The sequence below is a fragment of the Homo sapiens genome, chromosome 7 (assembly GCF_000001405.40).
Source record: "Homo sapiens chromosome 7, GRCh38.p14 Primary Assembly".
Classification (NCBI taxonomy): domain Eukaryota; kingdom Metazoa; phylum Chordata; class Mammalia; order Primates; family Hominidae; genus Homo; species Homo sapiens.
Window position 1 is genome coordinate 136,915,476 of NC_000007.14, and position 16,495 is coordinate 136,931,970.

At 37.5% G+C, this 16,495-nt stretch overlaps 1 protein-coding gene and 1 long non-coding RNA gene across 11 annotated transcripts in view, besides 1 other annotated feature; one reads left to right on the forward strand and one right to left on the reverse strand.

Annotated features, from left to right (window-relative positions):
* Window positions 1-16,495, forward strand: part of CHRM2 (cholinergic receptor muscarinic 2) — a 151,562-nt gene that overhangs the window by 46,824 nt on the left and 88,243 nt on the right. The window lies entirely within an intron of this gene.
* LOC349160 (uncharacterized) overlaps window positions 1-16,495 on the reverse strand; it is a 265,569-nt gene that overhangs the window by 16,703 nt on the left and 232,371 nt on the right. The window lies entirely within an intron of this gene.
* Window positions 13,941-14,110: an enhancer, noted in NCBI's record as "experimental_97737 CRE fragment used in MPRA reporter constructs". NCBI's record gives its function as "activates a minimal promoter by MPRAs in K562 erythroleukemia cells, with activity observed for both the introgressed and non-introgressed 7:136614248 variant alleles {active_cell/tissue: K562}" and the evidence as "EXISTENCE:reporter gene assay evidence [ECO:0000049][PMID:34662402]".

A 16,495-nucleotide genomic window follows, 5' to 3' on the forward strand; every position in this document is an offset into this window, starting at 1 on the left:
GGTATATTAATCCCATTTTATGTTTTATATATATTATTAAGAAATCAAGAATTTTGAAGTATTGGAACATGTTCTAGTTTATAGGGAGATTGAAGAATCTTATAACCTCTCAACTAGAATTTCTTCTCTAGACTTACATATATCAACTAGTTCCAATGCCTACTCACAATTACTAAATTGAGAGAGAGGGTTATGTTGGTAGCAATACTGAGAAAGGAAGGCTAACAGAAAAATGTCTACTATTATTCTTTGTGACAGAACTCTTGTCCACACTGCCAATGCGCCAACCTCAGTGAATTCAGTATATAATGACTCCAAACAATAAAAAATATGGCAAGCACAAGTTATGTTTTCCAAATCAGGAAGCATTTTGAAAAGAAACATTTTTTTTTTTTTTTGGTTCTTTGAAATAGTGAAAGTGCGTATTGGAGAATCTTATTTTCTTACATAAATTAGGAGCTTATATTATCCTATTCATCTTTGTATAAATTCTGTCAATTTCCAAGCCTGTCCCATTGTGGGTACTTATATATTGTTGTTGAATTCATAGGGAAAAGAATAATCTAACCCCATGGTGCAGGCCCCATTCACAGGAACCATTACTATATAATTCCCCACATTTCAGCTGGACTATGCACTGTTTGTAGGGAGAATATTGTTCTAACTTTCCTATATTTTGGTTTTCATATGAGAACTCTTATTATTGGGAGTGATATAAGTGTATCAATTAAACGCAGTCTGATTAAATGCAGCAGAAAGCAGCAGCATAACTAAAATCAAATCTTGTCTTAGAAATAAGAAAAACTCAACATAAGGATGAATACATTTAATCCTCATTTTAAATAATATACTATCCTCTACAGAAAAACATTTATTATAGAATAACAGGTCTGCCTTGGACTTCATTGAAGAGGCTATTTTATTTTTCTTTCATATTTAAAGAATATCATTTTATCTATAAGATGCCCTCATAATATGAATTCTGAGGACCATATTACTTAATTTAATTGAAAATTATTTTATGCCTACTCTGTTTCTGTTCTCGCAAGATTTTTTCTGTATTCTAATTTTTCCTCTATATCCACATTCCGCTTCAAAGTTTATATTGTCCTCCTCACATGTTCCCTTTTATTTGCTTATCTCTTTTATCCTTGAATTTGTTTATTAACGTTTCCTCATTTTTAATATTACATATATTAATATTAATATAATTAATATACCTGTTTTTATAAACAGCCACTGAAAAATGCTATGTACTATGTTATATTAGGTTCTTCATATAAAAATACAAAAGCTAAATTCTTATTAAAATTTAGTATTGGGAACATTGACAATTTATTCTATCATTCTCCCTCTCTTTCTCTCTCTCTCTCTCTCTCTGTCACTATGTGTGTGTGAATGAATATGTGTATACTTTCTTTAGTTATCGAGAAACTTAGTCTCAGATCTCAGTGTTTTAATTCAGTTTCACAAAAATTCTGTGTATATATTTTTATTTATTACTTCTTCCCTATTTTTCATTGACTCCCGCTCTCCTGACCATTGTATTAATGATTCTAATATATGCCTTTATTTTAAAGCTTCACCAACTCCTTTTTGCAAATAAGCGTGTTATGAATTTAAAATGAAAACATGATATTTTTTACATACAACTCAGTGACATTCACTATTTTCAGCTTTCTCACTTTTTTTTTTTTTGCTTTCTTTTATTTGTAGGCTTGTCCGCTTACTATTAATACCTGCTCGCCGTCCTCTTTCCTTGCCTCCCCTTTCTCCTCTCTTCCTTCCTTAGATGTTCAAATATTTTCTCTGTTCAGCATTAATTACCATAGTCTCAATTTTCTTATCCTTTCCTATCGTCTGATGTGGGGAAGTGATGTGTGGATAATAAGCTACATGCATCTCTTTGCCTCCTGTTGGTTCATAACAGTGTGAGAACATATTACTGCTTGATCCACTGAAAGGAGAGGATGGTTGCTGGCTTGTCCACAGGGCCAGAATCATAAAGGGATCCTGAGAGATCAACGGGCTATGTCTCCCAGGGTTCCACTCTGCATTACTAAACCATTAGAACTATATTGCACACATTTACTACTTTTTGCAAGGACAGAATGAGGTAAACAAGGATGGATGCCGGATTGCTGCCAGCTTTCACCAGCGCTAATGTACAATCTTAAGCATTTAAACCCAACTGCGAATCAATATCACCATCTCCCCAGAAAATACAAGACCAGACTGGGAAAAGCTATGATACAGGATTTTTTAAAAATTTCCATCACATCCTCCCATTGAGAACATTTCTCTCTTCATAACTGATTGGCCAATAGGCTTATTGGGTAGGCTTATTAGGGTAAAGGAGTAGTTGGAATCTAGCCTAAAAAGGTAAGTACAGTCAGATAGGATATGAATATTTTGTTTTGTTTTCCTGAGGTCTTACTCATGTGCATAATGTACCTAATGAACAATCCATCATGGAGCAGACATGATCAACTTGAAAACTCAATAAAAGTAGACACATGACACATAAGACCTTTGTTTTAGCAAATAACTGATTTCTACTGAGAAAGAGAGAAAGGTTTTAAGGAATGGGGAAAATGAATGAAGGAACAGAAAACAGAAAGGACCACCATGTCCATGTGGAATATAACGCCTTGTCTTCCCAACCAGATCATAAAGCACTGAAACTCGGTGCTGTTCACTTTAAAGTTTTAGGTGCCTTGGAAGGGTTTCTCAAGCTAATGAATTACATAATGAGTCCTTATATCTCATTATTTAAAAGAGACAGAAAGTTGAAATTCTCTACTTCAGCTCATACCTAAGGTCCTCTATTTAACATATGGATATTTGATGAAATTGTGACTTAAAATTACTAGTTACTAACAACTAGTATTTTGTTTCATCTTTTCATAATAAAGAGCAGTAAAAAGTTAGGTGACTGAATTTTACCTTAAAACTATACTTAAATTCTAAGATATAAAGTCTTTTATAATTCATACTCCTGTGTTCACCCATCTCACTGTTGCTACCCTCAGAATTTCATGCTCGTAAAGTGGCTCATAACCATTTGCTGAAAATATTTCCCTGAAGTAACAGTTTTTTAAAAAAATATTTATTTATTTACTTATTTATTTTATTAGAGACAGTGTCCCTACGTTGCTCAGGTTGGTCTCAAACTCCTGGGCTCAAGTGATCCTCCCCTGTTAGCTTCCTGAGTCATGGGAGTACAGGTGCATGCCACCATGCCAGGCTTGAAGTGACAGATTTGATATTGTCAGTAAGACTGTTGATTCTCCAGGCTGGTGTTATAGAGAAACTTCCAGCAGCCACTGATATATTTTAATAGAGACTGGGTTTCATCTGTTCTCTCCTTGGAGAGAACTGCAAACTGAGGTCCTCTATGCCATTGCATAAGGAAGTATAAAGATGAGAAAATCTTGCTGAAAGGTTTCTTAACAAAGTGGAAATCTGAGTGTACTGGATAAATAGCTATCATTAATGGTATAAATACTTTGTCCAGGCAATTAATATTTGGAACTTTTGTGTAGCTAGCTATTTCTAAAGTGCAACGTGGCAGAAAAGAATCGGCCATTTTTCTCTATATTATCCTGAATAGACAACTTTTGGAGACCCCTAAGACATGTTATAATATTTTATCTTTCTTGTTCTTGGTTCAAGACACTGTACGAAGACAATCATTTGTCTGGCATTACTGGGGAAGAAATGACATTCACAGTATAGAAGTGAATTTCCAAAAAGTGGTGGTATGCACTTTTAAATTTAAAATTTCTTAAATACGACCATACTAAGGTCAAGATGCTTTTACTAAACTTTTCAATCAGATAGAAGTACTTCTTTACATGTTAGATATTATCATACATTCTAAAGCTCTAGTGAATATGGTTTACCTTAATTTGATAATTAAAATAAATATTAGAATATTAATTAGTATTCAAATTACTTGAAATCTCACATTCATAGTTATAAGGAAGCGAATATGCTCTTACTAACTTGCAAACCTAGTCAAGTTGTTCTCCTGTTTAGAATTCTTCAATAACCTCTGTTACCTATAGGATAAGTCCATATTCTAATAAGTCCTTCAAAATCATGTTTCTACTTACCACTCCAGTTTATTCTCTCTCTCCCTACCATGCTTAATTCTGTGACCCTATAAACCCATGTATAGTTCCCCCAATGTACCGTGGTGTTGTACAGGTCTATGTCTCTGGTGTTCTACTTTTCCAGAAAGCCCTTTCTCTCCATTTCTAGGGGCAATCACCCACTCAACTTTCATGATTCTATTTGTTTCACATCCTGCACTAAGCTTCTTCTGACTTGTTACCCACCTTAACTTTTATTATTTTGGCCCTTTCAGCTCTATTGGGTTCTTATGTATACTTCAGTCAAAGTGGTCATTGACCTTCGGATTGTTTATTTCTCTAGATATTTATCTCATGGTGACGTGGTCTTTTTTTTCCCTGTATTCCTCAATGTTTCTCAATAACTAGGATTTCATACTACTTCAAAAATGCTTATAGGATTAGAAAATGCAATGTAGTGAAGCTCCCAGGGGATGCAGAAATATGGTGACATTTCAATCTTATATGGTGACATTTCAACCTTATATGGTGACATTTCAACCTTAATGAAATAACCCCTGCTATTCTGATAGCTGTGCATTTTTGTGACTGATTTTCAGGTTTTTTCATCTTTTCCTGTTTTTTCAGGCTCTTGTCAGCTGTTGCTGTCAACATATGAACTCTGTGTGTCCCCTTAGTTATGATAGTGAAACATTTTGCACCTCAGCTCCTTTATTTTATAGTTATTAGTAAAACAAATCGAGGGTGCATAATGAAGTGATTAAGTAGTTGACCACCCATGTTTGCAAGTGACTGAGATTCTGAACTCAAATGAGGTCTCACATTCATTTACATAGTCTGAGAACATACTGTGTTCATCATCAGTGATGAGTGGAGCTCATCAGCTCTGCATTGTGAATTTATACTGACCACATTTTTGAGGCTCTAGATGGCATATTGAAACTGCAGCTTAGAACATCTCTGGGGGAATCATGAAGGCACTGACCCCGGGGTCTGTTGCCCTACTGCCTTTTGCCCTTACAGGCTGGGCCACACTTCTTTTGTTCTCTACACCCTAAGCATGTGTAAACCATATTTGCATGTTAATTATTTTGGGAAAAGCAATTATAGCCACCTTAAGCTCATCACACCTTAGATTCCTATCATTGTTTCTCAAAGCATAAGCTCAAAAAGCCTCTAGTGACTCAGTTTCCTCTGTGGTCTCAAACTCATGACACTCAGTGTTTCCTCTTCAAATTCTTCATCAGCTCACTTCTGCCAAAGCTTTCCACCATCACCTTCACATTTCTTGTTACTATCACGAAAAATTCTCCTTCCCAAGGAGACGTGTGAGAGGGAGGATATTTAGCTGTTTTCCTAAATATCCCTTCTAACTTCTGATGTTACTTTCCCTTAGGGGCACCACTTTCTCTGCAGCCATCTCAAATGGAAGATGCCCTAGAACCTCAGGAATGAGATGTGGATATTGGAGTCCTCCAAGCTTCCTAGAAAATGCTTCCAGACTCTTCTACACAGTGGTGGAAAACACCCTGCTCTCCTGTCGCTCAAACCTTGCTCTTCTCACCCCTGTCATTTACTAACCTCCAGGTCGTTCTGTCTCCTTCTTCTCACCCCTGTCATTTACTAACCTCCAGGTCGTTCTGTCTCCTACACCTGGCACAATCTCCTTAACTCTGCTTTGAGTCTTCCCATCATCCTGGGTGCCTGAAGTGTCCACACCTATAGTAATTTAGTCTCTCAATCCCTTCTCTTCATTGTCTCCAGTGAGGTCTGCCTTTACTCCATTTCAATCATCCAAACCCGGAAGACCATCAACATCTGGAACAGCTTACATGATCTCTTAAAATCCCCCAAAAAATCATTCCATTCTCTGAAGTTCAAGTTGACAGCTCCCCATTCTTACAGCTCTCTTATTCCAATTGCATGTGTCCCTCGTGCATGAGGACTTTCAGCATGTGGCCTCTTTAATTTACCCGTATTGCTAGTTCCCTTCTTTCTGCAATTCTCCCTCTCACTGGTTTAGATTCTAAGATACATCACTGCAATACTCTTGCTATTACTTCACATTACTTTCCCCACTGCCTTCTTGTCACCCCTACTCAGAAAATCACCTTTTCTGGATAAAAAGTCAGCCTTCTCTGATGCTACTTTTTGCCCCCAAATTGATGCTGTAGAAATATACCATTCATGCAATTTTCTTTCTTTCTTTCTTTCTTTCTTTCTTTTTTTTGAGACAGATTCTCACTCTCACACCCGGGCTGAAGTGCAGTGGCATATCTGCTCACTGCAACCTTCCCCTCCCAGGTTCAAGTGCCTCAGCCTCCCGAGTAGCTGGGATTACAGGTGCGCATGCCTGGCTAATTTTTGTATTTCTAGTACAGACAGGGTTTTGCCATGCTGGCCAGACTCATCTCAAACTCCTGACCTCAAGTGATCTGCCTGCCTCATTCTCCCAAAGTGCTGGGATTACAGGCATAAGCCACTGTGCCCACCCCATTCATGCAAATTAGAACAACTGCAAAGTCATGCTCTCCAGCCTCAACTGACCCCTGGGAGATGCTCAGGAGTCAGCATTGATATCTATTCTCTTCCAAAGCTCATTTGCTCAAGCAGCAACTTTGGTGTCATCCTTGACTCTGCTTTCTGTCCTGCAACACATCTCATCTGTCAATTTTACTGTACAAGCATTTCCCAAATCCCTTTGCATTTGCTCTGGCACTACCTTAGTTTGGTCCAACATCATATTTCCCCTAGATTCATGTAATAACATTTTTTTAAGTAGGCTACCTCTCTGGCCCTGCTCTTCTCTACATAAGTAACTAGTGTTATTGCTTGGAAATGCAAATCTGTTCACTGGCTTAAAGCTTCTTGTACTTCTTAGTAAAAAAGCCAAAGCTCCTTTATATAACATTCAACATCCTCTGGGATCTTCTGCCATAGCTTACTATTCATTTATATCTTTCCATACTCTATGTCTACACACATTTATCTACAGTTCCCTCATCTTCCTGCCCTGTCTGAGCTCTACCACACATCATATTCTGGCTTTCCTCTGCATCTTGGCGCCTGTGACTCTCTCAAATTGGCCTAGATAATGGCAACTTATCTTTTAATTGATGAATTGGAGGTTATTATTCTGGGAAGCATTCCTGGACTCTTTCCTGAGCAACTAGGAGCAATTAGAAAGTTTTACTGACACTCTGATCTTATTACCAAAGGCTCTGTATGTTGCATTGTTTTTTCTTCTTTCTTTGCATTTTTATGCTGACCTAGCCTGAGAGAGATCATTTTGGGTTTTTTCTAAGGAAAATACACTTTACAAAGGGATCGTAGAAGGTGATTCATATACTTGCTGAATCCTCTGAGTATCAATGTACTTATCTATTAAATGGGGATTATAATAGGAATGGTGTAAAAGGGGTGCTGTTATGATTAAATAAACTATCACATGTTAAATGCTTAGCAAATTCAACCCTTAAATAAACCTTAATTACAATGCCATTTGGTAGATTTAATAGGGCAGAGCATTATCAGATCATTGTCATAAGTCTCACGCCAGATTTTATGGAAGATATTTTCTTTAAGTCATTTAGCCACACATCTGGCAGCCACAAGGAGAGTACTACTACATCTTATAAAAGCCGAGGTCATAAATGATTTAAAAAAAAATACAACTGATACTTATTAGCTTTTTTTTTTTTTTTTCCTACTGTGGTCAGTAAAGATGTGAAATTCCCAAGCCAGATTTTGTGTTCTGGTGACCACAATAGTCATGTCATGAACTGTGTACATTCCTCACACCCTCCCTGGAATGTGCTCCCTGCTCTGTCTACACAAACGGATCAGAGGATTCAGGTATGAAATTTCCTTGTTAGCCAAGCAACTGATGAGCTGTTTCAATCCAATCAATTTTTTTTTTACCCTAATTCAGCCAATGTTAAGCACAGAGAGTTGAGTAGCTTCTTAGAAAGAATTGGTCACTTGACACAAAGAGACTTACACTGCATTAAGGAACCCCCAAAGCTACAGAATAGAATCCACACACTAAAATCTCAACTTGCATGTGCATATACCATGTATCCTAATGATATTTTCATTAGTGTTGCAAGTGCCTTTTTTATGTTTTTATTTTAAAAAGACTTTCATAATTTAAAAGACAAAAATGGTGTCTCATGCTTTTAATCCCAGCAAATTGGGAGGTCTAGGTGGGAGGATTGTTTGAAGTCAAGAGTTCAAATCCAGCCTGGGCAACCAGGCAAGAGCCCTGTCTCTACAAAATTTTTATTTTAATTAGCTAGGTGTGGCGGTGTGTGCCTATAGTCCTATCTACTCAAGGAGACTTAGGTGGCAGGATCATTTGAGTTCAGGAGTTTGAGGCTGCAATGACCTATGATCATGCCACTGTTCTCTAGCCTGGGTGACAGAGTGAGACTCTTCCTCTAAAAATAACAATAAGTAAATAAAATAAAATTATTCTTAAATGAGATAAACTGCACTTTTAAATTCTCATCTTCTGCAAATAAGCATGTTAAAAATAACTTCCTGTCTGTTCACCCAAATACATATGTTTCCTAAGAAACAACATGTGTGTGCAAATGTGGTATGTACACACATTATTTCTTTTTTTTTCAGTTGTATGTATTTTTTTTATTATTATACTTTAAGTTTTAGGGTACATGTGCACAACGTGCAGGTTAGTTACATATGTATACATGTGCCATGTTGGTGTGCTGCACCCAGTAACTCGTCATTTAACATTAGGTATATCTCCAAATGCTATCCCTCCCCCCTCCCCCACCCCACAACAGGCCCTGATGTGTGATGTTCCCCTTCCTGTGTCCAAGTGTTCTCATTGTTCAATTCCCACCTATGAGTGAGAACATGCGTTGTTTGGTTTTTTGTCTTTGTGATAGTTTGCTGAGAATGATGGTTTCCAGCTTCATCCATACACACATTATTTCTAATATTCCTATTAAATACCACCCCGCTGATACTTTGCCCAAAGGTTGTAGGTTTATAGTCACTTTCACATGTTGGGATCAGTAAATGTAAAATCACAGATTTGTCAGTGGAAGTGATTCAAACAGCTACACAGGCAGACTCCCCATACAACATGGTGGTCCCCTCTGCTGCCAGTGGTCACTGACACACTGCTTAACACCTCCAGCACTGTTTCATCCTTGCCAACACTCTGCTCCAGGCAGCCCCAATTGTCATGAAGCTCCTTCTTATGGTGAGCCACATTTTGCTTTTCATAACTTTCATCCGTTTTTCATGGTGCTATCTTCTGGGCGTAACACAGAGTATTTCATAAGGAGTATTAATATTTCATTTATTCTTCTTTGAACTCAGCTCTTACACTCACATCTACTCTGCCATAGTTTTATAATCATTTGTTGACTCCTCCATTCAGAAAGCACTTATCAAATTTTTACTGAATACAAGGTATTGTGTGGTGCTATAGAAGATAAAATAATATAAGCTATGATCCTTCCCTTTAAGTAGCTAATATGCAGTAGTCTGTTAATGTCCCACTTAAAATGCAACATAATAAATGGAAATAACCCTCCAGATGTGCTCTGAGCAGTGCTGACTGTAAAATGACCGCTACTTCTCATAAACCAAACTCCCCATTTCTACTAATGAAGGCTATGTTTATGTTGGCCTTATCATAGCTATCCAACCGGATGCCAGATATCCGGTTGCTGGCCAAGTAGAAACTTCTATCTTTTTTTATCTTATCTAGTTAATCTAGGTACTGGTCAAATTCATGTCTAGACCTTTGGGTGTTATCAACCCCATATTTCTTAGAGAAATTTGGGGCTCAATAAAGTTGTATAACATATACTTAATACTACAGAACAATTAAGTGGTAAGTAAAAGGAGATCTAACTTTTCAAAGGGTATGTTAATTGATTATTCTTTCATTTTGTCCAAAAACAAAGAACAATGTAAAACTATAAACAGCTTTTTTTTTTCTAAATGGGAAGTCTACAATAGAAAATAAGGGGTGTTTTGAGATAGCCATTCATGACCCTCCAATATCATGTAAGTAAGAGAGGATCCCACCCCATTGACTGGGTAGTGGGAAACTAATCCCTGGCACCTCCTGTCTCTGCAGAAATATTCAGGGCTTTTTAGCTAAAACAGCTCTTGACTCACTTTCAAGTCTCCTTATCTTTGTCTCACTGCATCTCCTTTTCCTCTGCTGATTTCATGCCTGACACTCAATATTTCCTGGCATTGACTTCAAGCTTTTACTGAATGCTTGCCAGATGTAAATACACCTTCTATTTGCCTCCTGGGAGCAAAGTGCCTACAATTATTAGATTCTGGTTTCAGGCTTTAATATGGTGTCCCTAACCCCTACTTATAGTCTAGCTAGCCAGGCATGGTGGCTCACACCATAATCCCAGAATTTTGGGAGGCCGAGGTGGGCAGATTGCTTGAGTCCAGGAGTTTGGGACCAGCCTGGCCAACATGGTGAAACACCACGTCTACTAAAAATACAAAAAATTAGCCAGGGATGGTGGTGCATGCCTACAGTCCCAGCTATCTGGGGGCTGAGGCAGGAGATTGCTTAAACCTGGGAGGTCGAGGCTACAGTGAGTCCTGATCATGCACTCCAGACTGACAGTAAGACAGAGTAAGACCCTGTCTCAAAAATAAAATAAATAGATAAAAATTAAAAATAAAAATAAATAAAAATTTAAAATTAAAACATAAGATAAATCTAACTCAAATTAATTTAGTTGACATATTTTTGAGCACCTATGACGTGTCAGGCAGGAATAGACTGCTGCCCATAGAAAGGTAGAATCATAAACATTTTGGCATCACTGTCTGGGTTGAAGAACTGATCAATCTCTGTCCCAGTGTGGAAATCCATGCATTCTATTCCATCACATAAATCTATGTTTATAACTCTCAGATCTTGGACTTTGCAACATTTGACTATTTCTAACTAGGTACTCAGGTAAATAAGTTAAAAAAGGAGTCCTATTATTCCATGTCTTATAACTGAGGCAGTGGAGTTCAAATTTCTCATGAAAATGGTAGCATGAAACATTGCAAAGGAGGTGATAGGAATGAATTATATGGAAGAAATTAGCTACTTTTGGAAGAGAATTGAGACCCAGGAGTTTATTATATCTGTCTCAACTCCTCTGCGTACTATATACTCTGCTGTGAGCGTCCAGGAAACAGGCAGTCATTGTGCTTGCAATGCCTCCTGATGGTGCTCCTGCTGCAGCTGTCAGATGTATGGAGACATAATTGATGAAATTCTATTTATACCCAAAGATAAACTTAGAAAACCAAGCCATGCTGCCTAAACTAGCATATTCAGTGGATCCCCTTGTTGCAGTCTCTACCATCCAAGTGACAACATCTACAATACACATTTTCTATTTGCCTTAAAGTCACCAATTGCTTCATACCTTAGAATATGCTAATAGTGTAACAGGACGTCAGCTCCTGATGTCAGATGGCCTGGGTTTACATTTTTACTCTTTTCAGGAATATGATCTTGAGTAAATTTATCAACTACTTCATAAGCTATAATATGCAAAGCTCTTAAAACAGCACCTACATACACAGTAAGCACTCAATATGTATTAGTTGTTACTTTTATGCTCATTATTATTAGTTTATCTGCAGTTCAGACAGAGGAATGGGTGGTCCACCAGAAGGCTCTTGGGCCCAGAAACCTAATCTTCTGGATTATAGTCTCTGGTGTGCTAGGAGCGAACCAAGTGACTATGTGACCTTAGATAAATTGTTGAGCTTCTCTGAACCTCACTCCTTGTGTGTAAGTAAAATGGTGGTGGTGGTGTGGGTGTGTGTGTGTATGTGTGTGTGTGACAAGGTTTTAAATGCTAACATTTGTTTTGGCACCAAAAGTAATCATCATCACTACTAGTTGACTAGACCCTAGATAATGCAACTGAAAAAAAAAGAAGAGAAATATTATTAAGTAAATTGTACTCTTACAGATCTCTCAAGGAAGCATTAAGCCCCATGGGGCATATTTATGCCAGGATAGACAAATTATAAAATGAATTACCTTGTAACATGCTACCTATGAGCAACATTTCCAAAATAATGGTTTTATTCAAATGACAAGTTGTTTGAGATCGGTGTGGAAATGGAATCAATAGAATTCTATTTATTAGAAAAATCAGGTATACCTTCATTATTTTCATCACCAGGAAAAAATATTTAAATATAGGTATTGAAGGGAATTTTAAGATTCTGTGCAGAAAATTTCACCATGTCATAAGGATATTTAAGTTAGTTACTCCTAGGAAGCAGACTCATGATATGGACCCTGAAAACAGAATTATGAAATTTGGAGTATTTTTTATATGCTATAGTGTGTGTAATAAATAAATTCTATTAATCTGAATCAAGATTTGTCTTTACTTTTCATATATCAGCTCTTTTCCCAGAAACAGAACTGTTTCTTGCTCTGTGGCATTACTGGAGAGAATTTTGCGCAGAGTGGATTGGGAAAGGGACATTAAATGTATAAGAACATTAAAATACGAGCAAGAAAAAGAAGCAGAGGAAGGAGGGAGGAGCATTGGTGGAGAATCACAAGAGTAAGAACAAGAAGAAAGAAAAAAGTTGCCATAAATTGCTCTAACGGTTAAACCTGGTATCAAATCCAAAAATTCTGCCTGTGTGATCTTGCACAATTTACTTAACTTCTCTGGGCCTCATGATTCCCCTAAGTGGGTTGAGATAATAATAATTTCTTTACTGGTTTTAAAGTAAATGCAATATGTAAAATATCTAGCATAGAGACTGGAAAGTAGTAGATGTTTAATAATTTGTAGTGATTATTTTCTGAATGTTAAGAGTGGAGGTTTGCACATTGTATACTATGTTGATCCTGGAACATGGTCACATGCTTCATGATCCTTCAAAACATCAGAGGAAACAATGTTTTTAATACTCATCCACTTTACTTGTATTCATTGTAAATAATGAAACTGATTGAGTTAGCAGTGTGACTATTCCAGCTGCTATGTCTTTCTAAATGAGATTATTTAGTAAATATTCTTCAGAGAAGAATTCACTTATGATTTCAAGACCGTAGCGCAAAGGAGCTGCAGCTATACCATTCCTGGCAGTGCTGCATACTGGAAAGAGCCCATGATTTAGAATCAGATACCTCATTTGAATACCAATGGAACCATTTACTGACTTTCTTTTCAGGGGTAAAGTGTTAGGTTGGTGCAAAACTAATTGAGGTTTTGGCCACTATTTAATCTCTGAGAATAAGATTATGTAACTTGAGATGCAAATGGAAACAAAAATAGCAGCTATCTCACAGGGTTGCTGTGAGGATGAAATAAGAGGCTCTATATGATGCATTTGATGAGGGTGTAAAGCGCTGTAAATGATGTTGGTTATTGCTGTTGATCCAGGATCACAGAATAAAGGGCTTCCATTCCCCTCCTCTTAGGTTCTATTGTGTGCAGACGATATGCGATCACGTGAAGGATTTTCCAGGATCAATAGACAGATCTCTAGAACTTTTGGTCATTTTATTTTTTTTTATCCTATTGACTTATCTTCTGGAAGCAGTTTCAAATTTACTAATTGAATTAGCCAAACATCTTAACTTTGGATCAAATTCAAACTTTTGGAACCTTCTCCTTGCCTCTAAAAGCACATTTTTTTCTTTTCTTTCTTTTTTTTTTTAATGAACAGAGCAAAGAAAGTGTGTGTCTCTTGCCCCCTTAATTTTTGTGGACCCAGCTATTTATCTGAGAAGTTTATATGTTCTGACTCTTGGCCCACCCAAATTTTCACTGCCAATTCAGGGGAGCTGAAGGATATAAAAATATACACAGTTGCTGCCTCCTACCTCTACTAGGTTCCAGGGATACCTCCTTAGGGAGGTTCAGGGCCCAGGAAGAAAAGAGAGTCCTCCTTTTCACCTCTCCTTCTTTTGCTAGTCCCTTTATTTTCTCCCTCCTTCTTGCCACTCTGAGACTTATCTTTCCCACATAAGAGCTGTCAATCAGATGTCACCATAAAGTAGAAGGACTTAGTGGATGGGTGACAATAACCTCGTGGTTAAATAAGAAAACCCTGAATCATACAGAAAAGAAAATAAAAAGAACGTGAACAATTGTGGAACTGAGCAACACAGGAAAATAGAGGAGGAGTGGAGTATTTGCATTTTGCTTTCAAACAGTAAAGAAAAATGTGCCTATTTATCCAAGAGGAATAAAGGTTACTAGTTTGAGAGAGGTAATGCAACTCCAAGTTAACAAAGAGAAAAATATGAAATTAAATAATTCAATCAGTAAAAATAGGAAACAGTTAAAGAAACCACATAGAAAAATAAATAATAACCAAATGAAATGAAATGATTAATATCAAGTCTGTTAGTCATCACATTAAGTATGAATGGATTGAATGTTTCATTAATTGGCAGAGATTGCCAGATTGCACTTAATGCAACCTCTGCCAATTAATGAAACATAAAGAAGAAAGAAGAAAGAAGAACAAAGAAGAAGCTCAATAAATGCATGTATGAGAAGCACTTAAAACAAAGAAAGAGGCCGGGCATGGTGGCTCACACCAGTAATCCCAGCACTTTGGGAAGCCGACGTGGGCAGATCACCTGAGGTCAGGAGTTTGAGACCAGCCTGGCCTACATGGCAAAACCTCAACTCTACTAAAACTACAAAACAAATTAGCCAGGCATCGTGGCACACACCTGTAATCCCAGCTACTTGGGAGGCTGAGGCCAACAATAAAGGTTTCAAAAAGCATCTTACATGTCTTAACTTCATCTGGGATCTAGGAGGAAATGCAGATGCTCGGGTCCCAGACCTTCTAAATCACAATCTTCAGTGTAATAAAATCCTCAGCTTATTTGTTTGCACAATCATTAAATTAAAATTTAAGTTTAAAATTAAAATTTGAGAAACCTTTCTCTAGGAGATTTTTTGCTGATATATTAATTCTGCAGCTAAAATCATCAGTGCTTATACGATAGGAAAAAAAAAAATGGATAGAAAATGCCAGGCGCGGTGGCTCATGCCTGTAATCCCAGCACTTTGGGAGGCCAAGGAGGGTGGATCACGAGGTCAGGAAATCGAGACCATCGTGGTTAACACGGTGAAACCCCGTCTCTACTAAAAATACAAAAAATCAGCCAGTTGTGGTGGCGGGCACCTGTAGTCCCAGCTACTCAGGAGGCTGAGGCAGGAGAATGGCGTGAACCTGGGAGGCGGAGTTTGCAGTGAGCCGAGACTGCGCCACTGCACTCCAGCCTGGGCTACAGAGCCAGACTCATTCTCTCAAAAAAAAAAAAAAAAAAAAAAAAAAAAAGGATAGAAAGATCCTTACCACATATTACCTCTTTGCTCTATCTGTAATAGTTTTAGGGTTTAAAAGGATGTCAGTCACAGGAACAGGAATTATTCTATCCTAAGTTTTCTGGTACGATTATCTCCTTACTACTAGGATTATTTTGATTCGTTCTAGTTTTCAATGGCTTAGATATGTGCACAGTTATTGTTTATAAACATCTTCAGAATCTTTTTGGAAGTGAGTGTAAATAACAGATAGAAACATGTTCAAAACTATGCCTTTTTTGATAAGATAATTTAGGTATGTTGGGGAAATAACATTTCTCTAATGTTCTATTTGGTGAAACTACTTTGGGCACAAAGACAGATAGAGATTTGTGTTCCAGCAAATGCACAGCAGGAACAGCTGAAACCCAGGGAGAGATAATGCCCTAAGTATAGCAGTTAAGTGATAAAGATTTTGATTCCTAAAGTGGCGAGCCCCAAGCCTCAAAGTGGCAGAAGCAGCTTAAGACAGCACATAGAAATGAGAAGAACCTCCTGGAGCTATGAAGATACCTTTGGGTACTGAGGAAGCCACGTAATGCACATTCCAAAGGACAGATACTTACAATTGGTGACAGTTGACTGCAGATCACACAAAGCACCATAATGTACTGAAACAGTTACCAGCACCTCCCCCATCATGAAATCCAAAGATCCTTTCAAAATTGTGAACTGTTATCTCTGTGATGTTGTCCACTCCTGGACACTCCTGTATAGTACTCTCCTTTGGCTTTGCTGACCTGCCATACACTGTCCAGACTTGCCTCCCTGATCTGTCCCTTTGAAGACTGCATTTCTCTTCTTAACTCCTTCACGTATTGCTTCAATTTTTACTTCCAGAGAGGTGACTGAAAAATACACTTTGAATCCAGATATCCAGTTTCCCAAACAAGAATATCTAGAATACACCTAAAATTCAGTAGATTGATCAGAGATAAACAAATGTATAATGTTTTGTGCAACACAAGGAACTTTCAGTTATATTCTGTGTAGTCGTGGGTTTTAATTAAGGTTGCC